At 45.3% G+C, this 21897-nt stretch overlaps 1 protein-coding gene across 5 annotated transcripts in view; it reads left to right on the top strand.

Annotated features, from left to right (window-relative positions):
- Positions 1-21897, top strand: part of EIF2B3 (eukaryotic translation initiation factor 2B subunit gamma) — a 136074-nt gene extending 114177 nt beyond the window's left edge. For 3 of the 5 annotated variants that reach the window (XM_047433499.1, NM_020365.5, XM_047433501.1), the window contains 2 exons: positions 14612-14715; positions 21416-21897. In XM_047433499.1, coding sequence (XP_047289455.1) covers positions 14612-14715; positions 21416-21468 — 157 coding nt within the window. In that variant the 3' untranslated portion in view covers positions 21469-21897. The remainder of the gene's footprint in view (positions 1-14611; positions 14716-21415) is intronic. The other 2 variants (XM_047433500.1, NM_001261418.2) reach the window with 1 other exon arrangement.

Here is a 21897-nt window from a genome sequence, read left to right as displayed (position 1 = left end):
CCACCTCAGCCTCCCAAAGTGCTGGGATTACAGGCATGAGCCACTGCACCTGGCCAGAGGTATTCTAGATACATAAAAAGTGAAGTGGCCAGCCACATTGGCTCATATCCATAGTCCCGGCACTTTGGAAGGTCGAGGTGGGCAGATTACTTGAGCCCAGGAGTTTGAGACCAGCCTGGGCAACATGACGAAACCACATCTCTACAAAAACTACAAAAATTAGCCTGGAGTGGTGGCATACATCAGTAGTCTCAGCTACTCAGAAGGCTGAGATGGGAGGACCGACTGAGTCTGGTATGTCAAGGCTGCAGTGAGCCAAGATTGTGCTACTACACTGCAGCCTGGGTAACAGAGTGAGAGCCTGCCTTAAAATACATACATATACAAGAATTAGTTGAGCATGGTGGTGTGCACCTGTAACCCCTGAGGTGGGAGGATCAACTGAGCCCAGGAAGTGGAGGTTGCAGCAAGCAATGATCATGCCACTGCACTCCAGCCTAGGTGACAGAGTGAGACCCTATCTCAAAAAAAAAAAAAAAAAAAAGATTGTGAAGTATGAAAGAGCATATCTTATTCCAGAAACATCTCCCTATTTTGATCTTAGCTCAAATGTCACCTCTTCAGAGGAACCTTCCCCAACTACCCTATTGGAAATAATCTGTCCCACTAACCACCATCACATCAACCTGTTTCATTTCCCTCATAACACCATCACTATTTAGTCTTATCTTTACTTGTCTCTCACAAGTAAAACATTAGTTTCAGAATGTAAGTGCCTTATCTCTCTTGTTCACTTTTATATCCTGAGGGCCTACAGGAACTCAATAAATATTTGTTATATGAAAGAATGACAAACAATTCACCATGACCAGAATATAAATCAGAGAGGGATGGATACAAGAGACAAGGCTATACATGCAGATGGACAAGGGCCAAGTAATGGATTGTTCCCTGAGGCGTTTGATAGGTAATGGTAATTTAAGAGCTTAAAGCAAAAGAGCAGCATGATTAAATTAGCATTTCAGGAAGATTATTTGGGCTACATTAGGAAGGTTGGCCTGAACAGGGTAAACATGGAGGCAGGAAGGCCATTGAAATAATTCTGGTAAAATAGAAGAGGTCCTAAACTAAGGCAATAAATAGCAGTAGAGATGGAGAAGACAGACAATAAGGTGATTAAAAACTATAAAACATGTGTCTGCCTAGATATATGAGGTCAAAGAGAAATTAAGGAAAAAAACAGATTTGTTGCTTGAGCAATGAGATTTCTGGTGTGCTATTCAAGATAGAAATTAGTAGAGGAAGAGCAAGATTGGCAGGCTGGGAGATGGGAAGAGTATAAATTCCATCTGGGACAAGTTGAATGCATGGTGACGTACAGGAGGCCTTGATCTACAGGGCTGGAGCTTAGGAAAGAAGCTGTGCTTGAAGTACGAATTTGGAAGTGGCAGGCACAGAAGTGGTAACTGAAGGCTGGGTGTGGTGGCTCATGCCTGTAGTCCCAGCACTTTGGGAGGCTGAGGTGGGCAGATGAGCCCAGGAGTTCGAGACCAGCCTGGGCAACATGGCGAAACCCCATCTCTACCAAAAATACAAAAATTAGCTGGGCGTGGTGGCACACACCTGTAATACCAGCTACTCGGGAGGCTAAGGCAGGAAGGTCACTTGAACCCTGGAGGCAGAGGTTGCAGTGAGCCAAGATTGCACCACTGCACTCCAGCCTGGGTGACAGAGTGAGACTCTTTCTCAAAAAAAAAAAAAACCTGAGAACTGATAACTGAAGCCTTGGGAGTAGAGTAGATGAAATCACCCAAGGAGAGTGTGTGACATGAAAAGAAAAGAAACCAAACAAAACCTTGGGGATTGGGAACTAACAGCAAGCAATTTTAGACATAAGAAAAGGAATCTAAGGAGACTGACAAGGAATGAGCAAGAAGGGGACATGTGGGGTAAGGGAGAGGAGAGTTGACAGGTGAAGCCCAGGTTTCCAGTTACGGAAAGAGTGGATGGTGGTGCACTCACTGAGATGAGGAAGGAGGGACAGATTTGTGGGAGACAAGGTCTGTGTAGGGCACAAGAGGTAGGAAGTGCCTGTAGGGCATCAAGTATGTGGAGATGTCTGGTATTCAGTTTGTGGTTAGAGCTTAGGAAAAGAGGTCAGACCCAGAGATAAAGTCTTTGTCTCTTTCCCAAATCATTCGTGTGATATTCTCTCTCTCTCTCTCTCTCTCTCTCTCTCTCTTTTTTGAGACGGGGTCTCTCTTTGTCCCCTGGGCTGGAGTGCAGTGATGTTATCATGGCTCACCGCAGCCTCAACACCCTGGGCTTAGGTGATCCGCTCACCTCAGCCTCCTGAGTAGCTGGGACCACAGGCATGTGCCACTATATTTTTAGTAGAGACGAGGTCTCACTATGTTACCCAGGCTTGAATTCCTGAGTGCCTCCTAAAGTGCTGAGATTACAGGCATGAGCCACTACACCACCATATTGTGGTGTTCTCCAACTTATTTTTCCTGTCTTCATCATTCTTCGTCTTCTATATTTACCCTTCCCCCATTGTTCTTATGAATTAGAACATGAGCTTTGAGTCAGACTGCCAAACTGAATCCTAGGTCTGTCACTTTAATTAGTCTCTTAAAGAATTGGCCAAATTAGCCAGGCGTGGTGGCTCGCGCCTATAGTCCCAGATATTCAGGAGGCTGAGGCAGAAGAATCGCTTGAACCCGGCAGGCAGAGATTGCAGTGAGCTGAAATCACACCACTGCACTCCAGCCTGGGTGACAGAGCGAGACTCCATCTCAAAAAAAAAAAAAAAAAAAAAAAAAGGCCTTACCTCTTTGTGCCTGATTTTCTCATTATAAAATGGGGGTAAAACTGAACTACCTTGTAGGTTTATTGGGAGTACTAAATTAGTTAGTAAATATAAAGCTTTTTTTTTTTTCCGAGATAGTCTCACTCTGTCACCAAGGCTGGAGTGCAATGGCGTGATCTCAGCTCGCTGCAACCTCCGCCTCCCAAGTTCAAGCGATTCTCCTGCCTCAAACTCCCGAGTAGTTGGGATTATAGGTGCGCACCCCCACACCCTGGTAGTTTTTGTGTTTTTAGTAGAGACAGGGTTTCACCATGTTGGCCAGGTTAGTTACGAACTCCTGACCTCAAGTGATCTGCCTGTCTCAGCCTCCCAAAGTGCTGGGATTACAGGCATGAGCCACCATGCCCGGCCATATAAAGCATTTAGGATAGTTAGTTGCTATTTTTATTTATTTATTATTGTTGTTGTTATTATATTACTACTTTATCCCATTTCACAAGGATGGCATGTTGCCAACATTGTCTTTCTAAAGAATATCTCTGATCACATCCTTGTTCTATTAAAAACCTTTTGAAAGCTCCCTCTTACCTTTAGAAGAAATTGGAACTTCATGATTCCTCATGGTCTGGCTCCAGCACTGAGTCTGGAATGCTAGTGTGAGATGAGGCCTTAGAAGTCATCCAGCTGAACTCCTGAATTTTTATAGATGAATAAATGTAGCATTCCAGACATTTTTCTTGTTGCACCCCTGCTACGCCATGTCCTCTTCCAGACTCCTGGATAAGACTGACAGACATCACCATTCTCTTAAACCAGAACTACACTTGCCTTCATCCATTTGATCACCTGGTTCCAGGTAACTCATGAGCTTTGTAGCTTCCCTTCTCTCAGACCTTCCAAGGAAGACAATGGCATAATTTTCCCCATATGCTCTAATTAGCAACCTTTCCCTGCCCTTCTGTGGGTGGGCAGGGCCGGACACAGTGGGTCACACCTGCAACCTGTAATCCCAGCACTTTGGGAGGCTGAGGTGGGCAGATTGCCTGAGCTCAGGAGTTCAAGACAGTCTGGGTAACATGGCAAAATCCTGTCTCAAAAAAAAAAAAAAAATCCAGTGTTAGTGTCCTAATTGATATGAAGAGACTTGGCGAGGAAACCATGGCTCCCTAAGACACTACAGCTTTCTTTTTTTTTTTTTTTTTTTTTTTTGAGACGGAGTCTCATTCTGTCACCCAGGTTGGAGTACAGTGGCGCAATCTCAGCTCACTGCAAGCTCCGCCTCCCGGGTTCACACCATTCTCCTGCCTCAGCCTCCTGAGTAGCTGGGACTACAGGTGCCCGCCACCACGCCCAGCTAATTTTTTGTATTTTTAGTAGAGACGGGGTTTCACCATATTAGCCAGGATGGTCTCGATTTCCTGATCTTGTGATCCGCTCGCCTCGGCCTCCCAAAGTACTGGGATTACAGGCTTGAGCCATTGCGCCCGGCCAACACTACAGCTTTCTATGTGAGAAAAGAAGTTCAGAGAAAAGGCCTAGCATATCTCATAGTCATTTGCCGTCTTGGAGGAGACAAGTTTTCATTCTGTCACCCAGGCTAGAGTGCAGTGGCGCAATCATGACTTACTGCAGCCTCAACCTCCTGGGCTCAAGTGATTTTCCCACTTCAGCCTCCCAAGTAGCTGGGACTATGGGCGTGTGCCACTACACGGCAAATTTTTTTTTTTTTTTTTTTTTTTAGAGACAGAATCTCTGTGTTGCCTAGGCTGGCTACTTCTTTTTTTAAAAATAAAAAAGTTGAGGTAAAGCTATAGACAGCCCACACAAGGCTAATGACTGGGAAGGCCATTAGCAATTACCCAATCCTGCGAATGAGTTCCTGCTGATAAGATCAGACATCCTACATCCCATATGAACTTTTTCCCATTATTTTGGGGTCACTTAATTTTAATTACTTACGGCAAACCTGGGAAAGGTAATTAAATTGCAGTCAAGTGAGACTTGATTACCCTGCTGCTATTATGTCTTGGCTAAGTGGCAGGGTAGGAGCATAAAATTGTTCAGAAGGGAGTTTCTCATATTCGTTATGTGCTTGTCTCTGCCAGCAGTGGTGGGCTGCTGAGGCTTGAAAGCTTGCTGAGGCTTTCTGGACACCTGCCCAAGGTCTTCAGGGCTTGAGGGATGCTAATAGGACCACCTTGGAGAAGGTGTAGGCGAGACTATTCAGAGAAAGCTCCTGCCCATCTTTCTCATGTTCTGGCATTTTATATGACAGCTGATGCTCAGGAATCCACAATGTAGTAAACACTTCATTGTCAAAGCTTGAGTGTCAGCCCTGTATTCTGCATGTTTGGTCCCCTGGTCCCAAGCAACCTCTCCTGCATTTCCCCCTAATCCAAGGCACATGACCCAAGCAGCAGTCTAGAGTAGCATCTTCACATGCTGACAGGCTAGAAAGCCAGGTTCTCACCTAGGTTTTCCATGCTTTTTGCAGTTAGCAAGTGTAGACCTCAGAGCCAGGTAAGAAATTACTACTTCTCATCATTACCCTGAGTGTACCCTTCACCTGCACTCAACTGACTGACTGCCCTGCCCACTGGGTTCCTTACATTCCTACTTCCCTTTATTTCTAACATTCACTCTGCCTGAATTGCCTCTCTTTGGAGCTCTTTCCTGTAAAAATCCTACCCATCTTGCAAGATCCAATGCATATTCCAACTCTTCCATGCAGCTTTCTTAAGATGTCATAGCCGGCCAGGCATGGTGGCTTACGCCTGTAATCCCAACACTTTGGGAGGCCAAGGCGGGCCAATCACCTGAGGTCAGGAGTTTGAGACCATCCTGGCCAACATGGTGAAACCCCGTCTCTACTAAAAATACAAAAATTAGCTGGGCGTGGTGGTGTGTGCCTGTAATTCTAGCTACTCAGGAGGCTGAGGCAGGAGAATCGCTTAAACCGGGGAGGCAGAGGTTGCAGTGAGCCGAGGTTGCACTATTGGACTCCGGACTGGATGACAGAGCGAGACTCCATCTAAAAAAAAAAAAAAATTGTCATAGCCATAAACTATTTTCCCCACCTCTGTGCTCCCTATGCACCCATAACACTTTATTCATGCTCACATGGTACTGTGGCACTTACTGCATCTTTCTTCCCTCTTCAACTAGACTATAAATGCCTTCAATATAGTTTTGTTTGTTTTTTTTTTTTTGAGACAGAATCTCATTCTGTCACCCCGGCTGGAGTGCAATGGCACAATCTCAGCTAACTGCAACCTCCACCTGCCAGGTTTAAGCAGTTCTCCAGCCTCAGCCTCCCGAGTAGCTGGGACTACGGGCACGTGCTACCATGCCCAGCTAATTGTTTGTATTTTTAGTAGAGATGGGGTTTCTCCATGCTGGCCAGGCTGGTCTCAAATTCCTGACCTCATTAGCCGCCCACCTCCAGCCTCCCAAAGTGCTGAGATTACAGGCGTGAGCCACCATGCCTGGCTAAATATAGAAATATTTTTATATGTCTTTATATCCCCTAACTTCTTAATACTGCACTTTTTACGTAGTAGATATCTTATAAGCATTTACTAAATGAAAAATGGAGATCTCTGATTTAACCCCTCTACTATAACTGGCTAAATATCTGTTAAGAGATCCCTCTCTGCTTCTAGAAAAAAATATTGTACATGATTATAGAGAGGGAGAAAAAAATAAATAAATAAAAATTTTAAAAGTTGGTACCAATGATGGCCAGGCTCAGTGGCTCATGCCTGTAATCTCAGCATTTTGGGAAGCTGAGGCGGGTAGATCACCTGAGTCAGGAGTTCGAGACCAGCCTGACCAACATGGAGAAACCCCATACAAAATTACTCGGGCGTGGTGGCGCATGCCTGTAATCCCAGCTACTTGGTTGGCTGAGGCAGGAGAATCACTTGAACCCCGGAAGGTGGAGGTTGCAGTGAGCCCAGTTCGCGCCATTGCACTCCAGCCTGAGCAACAAGAGCAAAACTCCATCTTGGAAAAAAAAAAAAAGTTGGTACCAATGTTACAAATACAGAAGAAAATTTGTGGATGAGTGCTTCATTCCTTAAAGCTCACCAAATTGAAAAAACAAAACCACAGAAGGAAGCTTTATCTATAATAAAATGAAATAACCTACTCATACCTATGCACAGACTACAGAATATCTGCCAGATACAGTGAAATTTAGATTAAATCCAAAGAGAACACCAAGATTCAACATAAAGAGAAGAAGGAATGGGAACATGGGTGAACCAAAGAAAAGACATCAAACATCCTTTTTTCAAAATACCAAGGCATGCAGAACTGAAAGAAAAACATCAGGCCACATAGAAGGGAGAAAATCAGGCTGGCTTCACACATTTCTTTTTTTTTTTTTAAGATGGAGTCTCGCTCTGTTGCCCAGGCTGGAGTGCAGTGACAATTTCAGCTCACTGCAACCTCCACCTCCCAGGTTCAAGCAATTCTCCTGCCTCAGCCTCCCAAGTAGCTGGGATTATAGGCGTGCGCCACCACACCCAGCTAATTTTTGTATTTTTAGTAGAGACAGGGTTTCACCATGTTGGATCAGGCTGGTCTTGAACTCTTGACCTCAAGTGATCCCCCTGCCTTGGCCTCCCAAAGTGCTGGGATTACAGGTGTAAGCCGCCACGCCCAGCCTGGCTTCAGACTTTTCTATGATAACATTTCAGGCCAGAAGACAGTGAAACAACATTTAGAGAATTTAGAAGGGAAACATTTGTGACCTAAGAATCTTATAACCTCCCATATTTCATCCCTACAAGGAAAGAAAACACAAAAGAATCCTATAGCCAGTTATGGTTGCTATGTAAAAGCATCAGAAGTATTCCAGGGCTCAGGACCTGTGTCACCCATGAACCCTCTGGAAAACTCTACCTGAAGACATAATATAGCCAAGGAAGAAATGAAAATGGATAGTTTAAGGTATAAAAGTGAATCCTCTTAAATATAAGTCCAATTAGAGGTAATTAGAGTTGCAGAAAAGTACATAATTGTTAAAAGAATTCTTTTTGGAGGCAGAGTCTCGCTGTGTCACCCAGGCTGGAGTGCAGTGGCATGATCTTGGCTCATTGCAACCTCTGCCTCCTGGGTTCAAGCTATCCTCCCACCTCAGCCTTCCGAGTAGCTGGGACTACAGGCACACACCATCACGCCAGGCTAATTTTTGTATTTTTAGTAGACGGGGTTTGCTATGTTGGCCAGGCTGGTCTTGAACTCCTGACCACAGGTGATCCACCCGCCTCAGCCTCCCAAAATGCTGGGATTACAGGCATGAGCCACCGAGCCCAGCACTTCTGTCATACTCTTAAAAACACCAAATTATGACACTTTGGGAAGATCCCCTGGATTAAAGGGGCTCCTAATGGCTTTTGGTTCATTCCCTACCTTTGAACCATTTGCACTAAACCCATCTTAGATGAAGAATTCTGCAGCTTAACTCTTTAAGGCTGTTACATCTTTGCTTTGATTTCCCCTAAACTCCCTAGCCTCTGCTTAGGGAATACAAGGACTTAGATTTCTTAGGAGGGAGCCATTTCTCACCACAAAATCTTATATAGTGAAGGGGGGCATACAGAACTAAAAGGAGGAAATTTTCAGCCTGCTCACTGGAGTCAGTACCTTTTAATCTAGAGGACCCAAGAGCAAGAGTGACCAGAAACAGGGAAAAGGTAAGATCATTTCTTCAAGTATTATATATATCATTACCTGAATTAACCTGGATAAATCACAAATATGATGTTGAAGAGGGGAAAGCAAGTTGCAGAAGGATACACAGAACGGTAACATGTATGTACAATTCTAAAACATTAAAAATATTGTATGTTTAATAAATGTAGTAAAAATACTTAGGAACAAGAAACACCACAGTCCAATAATGGATACCCTGGTGGAAGAAGGAAGGAAATGGGATGAAAGAAAGATGCTTAGCAAGTTGGATTGTTTGTTTCTCAAGCTGTTTGGTGGATACACAGGCGTTCTTTATATTATTCTCTAGGTTTTTTTCTATACTTAAAATATTTCATTAAAAATAATACATGGTTGCCAGATGCAGTGGCTCACACATGTAATCCCAACACTTTGAAGGCTGAGACAGAAGGATCACTTGAGGCCAGGAGTTTGAGACCAGCCTGGGCAACATAGCAAAATTCCATCTCTACCAAAAAGAATTGTTTTAAATTATAAATAATAAAAAATAACTTTTAATAAAAATAACACATGATTCTTTCTCTAGAGAGATACTTGGACCAGCTTAGAAGGGCTTAGGTTAGGAGGCTCCCAGTACCTAGAGAGATTATGGGTGACTCAGCCATAATCTTTCGGCCAAAGTGTTGAGTTGGCCTAGAGCAGACCTTAGTCACATGCCTAGAAAAGCTACACATATCTTCAGTTTCATTCTCTTTTCTTCCCCCAGGGTCATGAGTAGTTTAGAAAGCCTGTCAACTCATCAAAAAAGAAAAGAACCTCCCCATCCTCAGTTACTGAGAAGTTTCATGGCTCTTTGCCGAATATTCTCTAAGTCAATATCTGAAGCAGGAGCCCGTGATACAGTGGAGTGTCACTTTAGGCCTGTGCACATTGCCTAACATCTGTGAGTCTCAATTTTCTCTGTAAAAATTGGAATAAATACCACCATCCCTGCAAGTTTGCTGAAAGGATTCAGTTATAAAATGAGTGTAGGCTGGGTGCAGTGGCTCACGCCTGTAATCCCAACACTTTGGGAGGCTGAGGCGGGTAGATCATGAGGTCAGGCATTCGAGACCAGCCTGGTCAACATAATGAAACCCCATCTCTACTAAAAATACAAAAAATTAGCCGGGCATGATGGCAGATGCCTGTAATTCCAGCTACTTGGGAGGCTGAGGCAGGAGACAGTGAGCCGAGATCGCGCCACTGCACTCCAGTCCGGGCGACAGTGTGAGACTCCATCTCAAAAAATAATAATAATAAATGAGTGTAAAGTGCTTTATATAATGACTGAGATGTATTAGACATTAGATATATGTGAGTTCCCTTTCCTCCCTTGAAATAACTGAAAGAAGTCCTACCTAAAGCCAGAAGAGGAGCAAGAATTTGGAGGCACTCTTGCTTCTCAGTTAGCCTTCTTCCTCAGGTGATATGCCACAACATAGTATAGTGTGGTGTGCCTGGCCAAGCAGTGATCTTACTGTAGTACTCTGTTTTTCTCATGGCCTCCTTTCCACTGAAACGTTACAGTTTTCAGAGTAATTTTGCAAAGCCTGCCTCTGTGCTTGAAATTTGAACCTACCAAGGAGAAATGAGGACCAAGTCTCCATTAGTCTTAGCCATCACTGAGCAGCGTCTTAGAGAACACAGCTAGACATTAGCACAGCGGAGTGCTTCGTGCCAACCTGAGAGTTAAAACTAGGATGCAGAAGCTGTAATTCTAGTCTGGAACAAGCTCTTTTGTTGGACTATAGGAACTCACCTCTTCTCTCTCCTTAGGCACTAAACAGAAAAGACAGAGTCCTTGCTGCCAATTGGCAACCTAGAGAGGGTTTGTTTGATAAGGTCCTATCTTTCCATTCCCTGTAGCATGAACAGATACACTCCCAGTAAAGTCCTTGATCCTGGAGTTTCTTCTTGGATGGGGAAAAGCTGTGTTGGGTTGAAATTTTTCCAAAGTACCTCAGCCTTGCTATTGGAGGTGATTTGGGCTGCACAATAATACTGGGGAACAATTGAGGATACAAATGGTCAGAAAAGAGCTTCACAACCAGTAAGCTGTTTTCAGGTATTCATCTCAAAGCCTTCCACAGATCCACTTACCAGGAGCCTCAGGAGAGCCCACAGCTTTCCATCCGTCACCCCACTTTCCCTATCATATCCGCAGGCTCCACAGCAGTGGTTTATGTGTCTCAGAAAGAGCTACACATCAACTGGATGAGACAGACAATGTGGGAGGTTCCTGAAGACCCCAATCAGATCCACTAAGCCTAAGGAAAACCAGGCTGTTTATTGCTATGGAAATCTGACCTCAGTTATTCTTGTCTCTTCCTTCCAGAAATCTCTCCCACTTATATCCCAGATTCCAAAATAGACATTTAATTGTCTCTAATTATGGCTGCTTGAGTTCCTGTTGGCTGTTTCTTGTCTGCTGACTATGTTTACCTCTTGCCTAGCTTCAGAGCATACATTCTTTGGCTCTTACGACTGAGTAGGAAGCATACCCCTACTACCACCTTGGAAAAAGAAATAAGACTTTTCCATTATAAACTAGTAGCCAACTGAAAGGCAGCTCTGTCCCAGGAGCCTCTGTATCTAAAGCTTTCTATACTTCCCTATTACCCCTTTTGGAGGAATTTCCCCCAAAAAGCAGGAACCACCCTAACTGACCCTAACTGCTTACTGGACTGCTTTGCAAGTTAGGCAAGTTGGAAAGTTATGGAAGCTCTCTTAAAAGCCCACCCACTGAGTGTATCCCAAGTCTGCCAAAGGGCAAACTAGTGCTGTCTCTGCCCATCTCTAGCCTACACCACAGAGGTGCTGTGGTTTTGGCCTTTTGCTACTTTCCAAAAGGCTTTAACCTCCTAGGAGAACAGAGATAAAGAAGACTCTGAAATGCCTTAAAGTGCTAGTATTTCTTTTTGCATTTTACTAAGTTTTGGCATTTGGGAAGAATCTTTTTTAATGGTCTGTGTATCAGTGTTTTTAGTCCTTGGAATGTCCTCTTTCCCACCCCCTCATGCCTCTTGGGTTGGGAATTTTTCCTTAGTTTTGTTTTGTTAAAAGGGTGCTTACACCCTCTCTATCCTCCTCCTTCTCCCTTCCAGCTGCCCATTTTTTCTCTTCCCATTTCTGACTCGGGTACTGAATATCCCCTTGTTAGGAAAGAGCTTCTTCCACTGAGCCATATCAGCTCAGAATAAGGCAGTTCTAGGTCTCTTCTAGTCTTTTCTTAATTTCTTTGTATTGCATTATGATTAAATTATGGATTCTGAAGTCAGGCAGACCTAGATTTAAATCTGTTACTAGCAGTTATATGGTTTTGAGTGAATGGTTTAACTTCTCTAAATCTGTTACCTCATCTGCAAAATGTGGTTGCTCTTTTTTAGTGCATCAGAGATAAAAATAGTACTCCCAGAATCATCTAGGAGGGGTTTGCTTCTAGTTAAATACATTTAGCTCCTATCCGAGACCTACCAAAATAATTGATGGGGGGCCAGGACACTGAGGGTGGCATTATTTGTCATTGTTTACACTACTCAGGTGATTTTCAGATGAAATTACTAGATTTGTTAGCCAGGCATGATGGCGCATGCCTATAGTCTCAGCTACTTGGGGGGCTGAAGCAGGAGGATCACTTGAGCCCCAGAGATGGAGGCTGCAGTGAGTCAAGATCACGCCACTGCACTCCAGCCTGGGTGACAAAGTGAGACCTTGTCTCAAAAAAAAGAAATTACTAGATTTGTGGCCAGGAGCGGTGGTCATGCCTGTAATCCCAACACTTTGGGAGGCTGAGGCAGGCAGAGGTTTACTTGAGGCAGATCACGCCACCGCACTCCAGTCTGGGGGACAGAGCAAGACTCCATCTCAAAAAAAAAAAAGAAGGCTGGATCACCTGAGGTCAGGAGTTGGAGACCAGCCTGGCCAACATGACGAAACCCTGCCTCTACTAAAAATACAAAAAATGAGCCAGGTGTGGTGGCAGGCACCTGTAATCCCAGCTACTTGGGGGGCTGAGGCAGGAGAATTGCTTGAACCCGGGAGACAGAGGTTGCAGTGAACTGAGATCACGCCATTGCACTCCAGCCTGAGTGACAGAGCGAGACTCTTTGTAAAAGTCAGTCCTATAATGTACAGAGAGTATTTATTTAGCACAATACCTGGCATAGAGTAGATGTACAATAAAGGTTAGTCATAAATTTCTTTTTTCTTTTCTTTTCTTTTTTTTTGGAGATAGAGTTTTGCTCTTGTCGCCCAGGCTAGAGTGCAATGGTGCAATCTTGGCTCACTGCAACCTCCGCCTCCCAGGTTCAATTGATTCTCCTGCCTCAGCCTGCTGAGTAGCTGGGATCACAGGTGCGCACCGCCATGCTTGGCTAATTTTTATATTTTTAATAGAGGCGGGGTTTCACCATGTTGGCCATGGCTGGCCTCAAACTCCTGACCTCAGGTGATCCACCTGCCTTGGCCTCCCAAAGTACCAGGATTACAGGCATGAGCCACCGCACCCAGCCAGGTTAGTCGTAATTTTCAAAAGGACATTTCCTCCAACCTGGCAGTCTTTAAGAGCCAAGAAGATGCTCCGTTTATGACAAGATCTCCCTCTATTGCCCAGGCTAGAGTGCGGTGGTGCGATCACAGTTCACTGCAGCCTCTACCTCCTTTGCTTAAGCGATCCTCCTACCTCAGCCTCCTGAATAACTGGTACTACAGGCATGCACCACCATGCACAGCTAGCTTTTTTATTTTGTGTAGAGATAAAGAGTCTCACAATGCTGCCCAAGCTGGTCTTAAACTCCTGGGCCCAAGTGATCCTTCCACCTCGGCCTCCCAAAGTGCTGGTATTACAGGGGTGAGCCACCACACGTGGCCTAGGAGAATGCTTTTTAAATACATTTAAATGCTGTGAGCAAGTGGCGCTGCTCTTGGTGTATGCTTTAGGGTCTGGAGTAGTCTTTTATGTGGAATGGAGTTGGCTTTTAAAAAATCCTTTTTAGCCAGGCATAGTGATGGACACCTGTAGTCCCAGAGACTTGGGAGGCTGAAGCAGGAGAATTGCTTGAGCTCAAATTTGAAGCCAGCCTGGGCAACATAATGATACCTTATCTCTGAAAAAATTGTTTAGGCCAGGTGCGGTGGCTCACTCCTGTAGTCCCAGCACATTGGGAAGCCAAGGCGGGTGGATCACTTGAGGCCAGGAGTTCAAGACCATCCTGGCCAACATGGTGAAACCCTATCTGTACTAAAAATACAAAAATTAGCCAGGTGTAGTGGCTCTGTAGTCCCAGCTACTTGGGAGGCTGAGGCAGGAGAATTGCTTGAACCCAGGAGGTGGAGGCTGTAGTGAGCCAAGATCGTGCCACTACACTCCAGCCTGGGTAATCCGAGACCCTATCTCAAAGAAAAAAAAATTTTTTTGAATGAGTATGGCTTTGCTTAACCAGAGTCTGTGGTGAGAGTGTGGGGAGCCCATTGTTTCCAGAGTTGATGTCCTAGGAGGATTTGTGATTTCTGAGCCTCAAATGAAATTTGGTATATATTCCCAGATGAGAAGCAGCAGTGATGGGTCAGCCTAAGGACCAGCCCCAGACCAAAGAACAGATTGGATGGAATTTAGACCTCTAGGTTCTGGGATCCTAAAGAACTGAAGTAATTAGCCAGACATGGTGGTGTTCACCTGTAGTCCCAGCTACAGGTTGAGGTGGGAGGATCACTTGAACCCAGGAGTTTTAGAGGCTGCAGTGAGCTATGATCACACCACTGCACTCCAGCCCCAGGGCCACAGTGAGACCCTGTCTCAAAAAAAAAAAAAAAAAAAGGAACTGAAGTGAAGTCAGAATATCTTCTTTTCAGGCCTTAGAGAAAGATCGTTATGAGCATAGTCCCAAATCTGGATTTCTCTGAAGCCAGGTCCTCCCTTGGCTTACCATTCTGTCTTCCACTGATAACTTGAGGCACGTAGCCATTAACTGGACTGCCCAGCTGTTCCTGGCCTAGGGAGGAGCCAGAACCCCCAACCAATAGTAATGAGGATGGTGATGCGAGCCTTGGGTCCTCCCTAACTTGGCTACTGTGTTACAGAAGCAATATCCAAGGCAGTGTCATCTGCAACAATGCTGTGATCGAGAAGGGTGCAGACATCAAGGACTGCTTGATTGGAAGTGGCCAGAGGATTGAAGCCAAAGGTAAACCAGATTACAATCACAGATTCCATTTTTACTTCTCACACCAGCACTGATAATGCCAAAGGCTGGTGAGGATGTGGGAAACAAGCACATACGTACACTGCGGGCGAGAACATAAATTGATAAAGCCATCTTTGGAGAGCAGTTGACATCACTGTCAATTTTTTTTTTTTTTTCGGAGTTTCACTCTTGTTGCCCAGGCTGGTGTGCAATGGTGCAATCTCAGCTCACTGAAACCTCCGCCTCCCGGGTTCAAGCGATTCTTCTGCCTCAGTCTCCTGAGTCGCTGGAATTACAGGCATGTGCCACCACGCCCAGCTAATTTTTTGTATTTTTAGTAGAGATGGCGTTTCTCCATGTTGGTCAGGCTGGTTGCGAACTCCCGACCTCAGGAGAACTGCCCACCTCAGCCTCCCAAAGTGCTGGGATTACAGGCGTAAGCCACCGCACCTGGCATCACTGTCAAATTTTTTTACTTTGACTTAACAGTTTCATTTCTAGAAATTAATCTTATAGATAAGCTTATACATGTATGCACCCTTAATCTCAAAACCTTGAAAACATATCAATAGATCTAATGGCCCAGGTTGGCACCAATACTGTACAGTGATTCTTGAAGCCTAGGCACAGTGGTTCATGCCAATAATCCCAACACTTTGGGAGGCTGAAATGTGAGGATCGCTTGAGCCTAGACAACATAGCAGGAACCCATCTCTACAAAAAAATTAAAAATTAGCCAGGCACAGTGGCACACACGTGTTGTCCCAGCTACTCAAGAGGCTGAGGCAGGAGGATTGCTTGAGCCTGAGAGGTCAAGGCTGCAGTGAGCTGAGATCGCACCACTGCACTCTAGCCTGGGTGACAGAGGGAGACCCTGTCTTAAAAATAATAATAAAAATTAAAATGACTGATTGCTTTTGGTATTATTCCTAAACCTAAAATAAGGTGGGGAGGGGAGTTGCTGAAGGAATTAACCCCACCAACTCTGTAGACGCCACATCATTTCCTTCTTCAGTTTCTTCCCCCTTCCCTTTTTTAAAGTCATATGCCTTCCTTTTGGGCTTTAGAATCAAACAGACCTCAGTTCACATCTCAACTCAACTTAGTGGCTGTGCACCAAGTGAAATTTTTAATCATTAAGCCCTCAGATTTTCCTTTTTTTTTTTTTTTTTTTTAATTTTAATTTTTTGAGACAGAGTCTTGCTCTGTCGCCTAGGCTGGAGTACAGTAGTGCTATCTCAGCTCACTGCAGCCTCCTCCTCCTGGATCCAGGTGGTTCTTGTGCCTCAGCCTCCCGGGCAGCTGAGACTACAGGGGCACACCACCACCCTTGGCTAATTTTTGTGTTTTTAGTAGAGACAGGGTTTTGCAATGTCACCCAGGCTGGTCTTGAACTCCTGGCCTCAAGCAAGCCACCCACCTCACTTTCCCAAAGTGCTGAGATTACAGGTATGAGCCACTGCGCCCAGCCCCAGATTTTCTTAATTAGACAATTGGGACAATAATAGCTACCTTGGAGAATTGTGAGAATTACATATAATTAAATGACAGGTATATGCACTACTCCTTGAGTGTACCAAAAGACTTAGAATTCCTCATACATACCGTGCCATTATACCTCTCCATGCTTTTACATGTGCTCTCTCTAGATTTCCTCTCTTGAAGACTCCGACCAAGTGTTTTCTCCTTTGTAGAACCTTCTCTGCCTCTTCCCATGACTCCCCATAGCAGAACTACACATTCCTTCCACTGTGTCCTTGAGCTTTGCCACACCTTTATTAAAGTATGTTTCACAAGCCATGGCAATTATCCGTGAATCAGCCTTCCCTACTAAGATCCTCAAGGTCAGCTGGGCATGATGGCTCACACCTGTAATCCTAGCACTTTGGGAGGCCGAAGTGGGCGGATCACCTGAGGTCAGGAGTTCGAAACCAGCCTGACCAACATGGTGAAACCCCGTCTCTACTAAAAATACAAAAAATAGCCAAGTGTGGTAGTGCATGCCTGTAATCCCAGCTACCTGGGAGGTTGAGGCAGGAGAATTGCTGGAACCCAGGAGGCGGAGGCTGCAGTGAGCTGAGACTGCACCACTACACTCCAGTCTGGGTGACAGAGCAAGACTCCATCTCAAAAAAAAAAAAAAGATCCTCAAGGTCGATTGTCTCATAACTATATGCATCCCTAGCTCTCAGAACAGGTCCTGATTTATGGTAAATGCTCAGAAGGGGAAAAGAGTGAATGAATGAATGTTGGATCCATGAAACATATTTTGGGGGATTTCAGGGTATAAAGTTAGGGTTCCAAGAAAGGCCTCTGTGCGATGGTTGCAATCATCATGAGATGGGCTTCATAAACTCCTGGGCTTTCTGGCTTTAATTAACACTATGTGTCCACCTTTTAGCAAGGAGACCCTTTAATGGTCCTGCTGAAGGAGGGCTGGCCAGGGAAGTCATCTTGTCTGGGCTCTAAACTGGACAACCCCACCACTTCCTTCTCTCTGTCCTCTGCTGGAAGGACCAGTGCATCCAGCACAGTGGTCAGTGCCCTCCTGCCACAGGAACTCCCTGGCCAGTTGCCTTTTTCCACTATTACTTCTTCTTTTTTTTTTTTTTTTGAGACTGAGCCGTATGGTGAAAGCAAACTCCTAACCATCAGTGCAGCACTCAAGACTTGTTACTATAGGTGACCTAGGCAAACACCAACAACTCACATCCTTACCAGCAAAGAGCTCAATAGATGGCAAAGTCTTCCGTCAGTCTTCCTCACATGAAGGGGTTTCAGGAAAAAACATTCATCCTAAGAAATAATGCAGTCTCAGCCGGATGCGGTGGCTCATGCCTGTAATCCCAGCACTTTGGGAGGCTGAGGCGGGTGGATCCCTGTGGTCAAGAGTTCGAGACCAGCCTGACCAACATGGAGAAACCCCATCTCTACTAAAAATACAAAAAATTAGCCGGGCGTGGTAGTGCATGCCTGTAATCCCAGCTACTTGGAAGGCTGAGGCAGAAGAATTGCCTGAACCTGGAAGGCAGAGGTTGTGGTGAGCTGAGATCACGCCATCACACTCCATCTTGGGCAACAAGAGCGAAACTCCATCTCAAAAAAAAAAAAAAAGACATAATGCAGTCTCCTCTCCAAATTCTAATCATTTTCATGCTCCAGAGTCACCACATCCATAGCAGTCTTTTTCCCCAAAAGTATGGCTCGTAACTCAGTGTAGGCCTCCCTACCCTCTTCTAGCACCAACACGAAAACAAGCCATTTTATAACAACTCTGACTTTTCTCACCCCATCCCAATACTCTCATTGGTTATCTCTGGCAAAAATACTGGCAGCCAAATTTGACCTTCTCAAGCAGTAGAATGGCTACAGCTAACAGTCAAAACCTAAAAAATGGCTGGGTACAGAGGCTGTAGCTCACGCCTGTAATCCCAGCACTTTGGGAGACCAAGGCGAGTGGATCACTTGAGGTCAAGAGTTCGAGACCAGCCCAGCCAACATGGTGAAACCTCATCTCTACTAAAAATACAAAAATTAGCTGTGTGTGATGGCACACACCTGTAATCCCAGCTACTTGGGAGGCTGAGGCAGGAGAATCACTTGAACCTGGGAGGCGGAGGTTGCAGTGAGCAGAGATCATACCACTGCACTCCAGCCTGGGCAACAGAGCAAGACTCCATTCAGAAAAAAAAAAAACAAAAAAAAAAAACACTAACTGCTAAAAGCATGCTTCATCTGAGTCTCTTCTTACAGTCAGTGACAGAACTTGGATCTCTTCCCTATGGCCAGAGTGATCAGTTCTTTGACCATGAAAGTAGACCTGGTATAGGTCAGGCTGTTGATGTATACTTGACACAGGTCAAATCCTCCTGGCCAGCAGGAAGCTTTCCCAGTTTCCCAACAGTGCACCTTTTATTTGTGATGTTTTTCCCTTCTATCCCATTGCTATTTTCCCAACTTATCATCCTCCCTTGTATTTTTCCCCTTGGGATCTTTCCCAACCTGATTCCAGCCCAAAGATTTTCCAGTGTATTTACTGGACCCTACTCCCATCCCTGACCAAGCATCACTAGCTTTGCTTAGTTTTTTGTTTTTTTGAGACAGGGTCTTACTCTGTCACCCAGGCTGAAGTGTAGGTGGCACAGTCACAGCTCACTGTAGCCTTGACCTCCCGGGCTCAAGCGACCTCCCTCCCTGGCCCCTGAGTAGCTGAGACCACAGGCATATGCCACCACATCCAGCTAATATTTTTATTTTTTGTAGAGATGGTGTCTAACTATTGCCCAGGCTGGTCTCAAACTCCTGGGCTGGGGCAATCCACCCACCTTGGCCTCCCGAAGTGCTGGATTGCAGGAGCGAGCCACCACGCCCGGCCTAGTTCTGCTTGTTGTGCCTCTACAGGTTTCCTCCAACTTACTGAATCACCATGAAAATACATCAACCCCAACATGCCAGATATAGTCTCTGTTCCCTGGCTCCCCCTGCCCCTTCCAGGCTATTGGCTCACTGCCTCCTTTCTATAGTTCTTTTTCCTTGAAAGTTTTCTATAGCTCTTCTTACCTTTCACCGCATCATTGATCAGCTTCCAGGGTACTTCCCTACATTTATTAAGAGCTTTAGCCTGTGGTTCACAGTCTTCCTCTCCTCTCCCTCACTTGTCCATAACATCTTGGACAACTTAAACATATTCATCAGTAAACTGTCCAGCTCTCCGGCTTCATGATTCCCTGAACTTCTCTACCAACCTTCATCTGCATTCAGCTTTAGCTCTCCAGTTATATGACCATATCCTATCTTAGTCATTACCCAAAACCTCTAAAATCATCATGTGGCAGTAGCTATGCTAGACACTGGGGATATAATCATAACTACACTGTTCCATCTCTCCTCTCAATGTTCTTGGTTTGTTTTTTTTTTTTTTTTTGAGACAGAGTTTCACTCTTGTTGCCCAGGCTGGAGTGTAATGCTGCGATCTCGGCTCACTGCAACCTCCACCTCTTGGGTTCAAGCAATTCTGCTGCCTCAGCCTCCCGAGTAGCTGGGATTACAGGCATGCGCCACCATGCCTGGCTAATTTTGTATTTTTAGTAGAGATGGGGTTCCATCATGTTGGCCAGGCTGGTCTTGAACTCCCGACCTCAGGTGATCCACCTGCTTTGGCCTCCCAAACTGCTGGGATTAGAGGCATGAGCCACCGCGCCCAGCGCCCTCAATGTTCTTATAGTGAAGTAGAGGAGAGTGGTATAATGATGTAGGAATAGAGATATATATTAGGTACAGTGGTTTCACAAAGCAGGAAATGGACAGTGCAAAAGGGAAGGCATCGCATATTAGAGGTGCTACGTTAGGGCACATAGGGTAGTAAGAGTGCAACAGGAAAAAATGGAGGGGGAAGCATTCTAGGCAGAGGGTTGTGCCAAAGTTCAAAGGTATAAAACAGGGCCAAGTGCGGTGGCTCACGCCTGTAATCCAGCACTTTGGGAGGCCAAGGCAGGGCAGATCACTTGAGCCCAGGAGTTCCAGACCAGCCTGGCCAACATGGTGAAACCCCATCTCTACTAAAAATACAAAAAAAAAAAAAAAAAAAATTAGCCATGTGTGGCGTCATATGCCTGTAGTCCCAGCTACTGGGGAGGCTGAGGCGGGAGAATCACTTGAACCCAGGAGGCGGAGGTTGCAGTGAGCCAAGATTGCGCCACTGCACTCCAGCCTGGGTGACAAAGCAAGACTCCATCTCAAAAAAAAAAAAAGGGATTAAAACAGTATGGCTTACTGGCAAAATGGAGAATAGTGGGAAATGAAGCTGGAGAGGTAGGCAAAGATGTCATGGAGGGCCTTATGGGTTTGACCTTTATAGAAATAATAATAGCCACAACTTATTGAGCATTCACTTACCTTTAACTCATTGAATTCTCACAACAACCCTATGCAGTAGGTGTCATTATTTCCATATTATATATGAGGTATTGCCCTTTCTTATCTCCGTTTATCCTTTTAGCCTCATTTCTTACCCTTATCCCCTCATTTCCTATTCTCTGGCCACACCACAGTATTTCATGGTCCCCTTTCTCCCATCTCACTGTCTTTGCCCTTGCTGTTCTAACAGCCTAGAATCCCTTCCATCACTGCCTGTAGAAACTATTCACCCTTTAAGACCCAGTTTCAGTTCTCCTATTTAAAGCCTCACCACAGCCAGGTATATAGACAGTTGGTCCCATCCTCCTGCATAGGAAGGTGCTCTCTCTCTCATATCCCTATTTCCAAGAGCTTCTCAAGATCACAGCCACAATAGTAGAGAAATAAATTTTTGTGAACACAGAATTAGAAGCAGTTGGGTTTGGCTGGGCGTGGTGGCTCATACCTGTAATCCCAGCACTTTGGGAGGCTGAGGCTGGCAGATCACCTGAGGTTAGGAGTTCGAGACCAGCCTGGCCAACACGGTGAAACCCCATCTCTACTAAAAATACAAAAGTTAGCCAGGCGTGGTGGCGGGCGCCTGTAATCCCAGCTACTCAGGAGGCTGAGGCAGGAGAATCGCATGAACCTGGGAGATGGAGGTTGCAGTAAGCCGAGATTGTGCCACTGCACTCCAGCCTGGGTGACAAGAGCGAAACTCGGTCTCCAAAAAAAAAAAGCAGTTGGGTTTGAAATGTCATCTTGCTGCCAGTTCTCAGAAAACTTTTTTCCTTTTCTTTTGTAGCTAAACGAGTGAATGAGGTGATCGTGGGGAATGACCAGCTCATGGAGATCTGAGTTCTGAGCAAGTCAGACTCCTTCCTTTTGGCCTCCAAAGCCACAGATGTTGGCCGGCCCACCTGTTTAACTCTGTATTTATTTCCCAATAAAGAAGGGCTTCCAAAGGCATGCTGGAGACTTGTGGAGCAGTCCAAAGCTCCATGTCAGGTGGGCTCCAGGTGTACACAGTGTATGTTCATGTGTCATGTGGTAAAGATCATCTGGAGCAAGTGTGTGGGACAGGACAGATACAGTGGCCTAACTCTTGTGTGCCAAGATGTATCGGTGGGGCAGCAGCTGTCCAATGTAAAGCTCCTAGGAAGGCTACTTTCTGACTGGCTGACCCAACCCAGTCCTGAAAGTATCCCTCACCTAAAAGGACCTGGGAGTACTTCAGTCCCTTATCCTAATCAGCCTTTCTAGACCCATAGGCCTAGCTGCTGGCAG

Source organism: Homo sapiens, chromosome 1, assembly GCF_000001405.40.
Source record: "Homo sapiens chromosome 1, GRCh38.p14 Primary Assembly".
Taxonomy (NCBI): Eukaryota; Metazoa; Chordata; class Mammalia; order Primates; family Hominidae; genus Homo; species Homo sapiens.
This window is presented reverse-complemented; position numbering and strand designations above follow the sequence as displayed.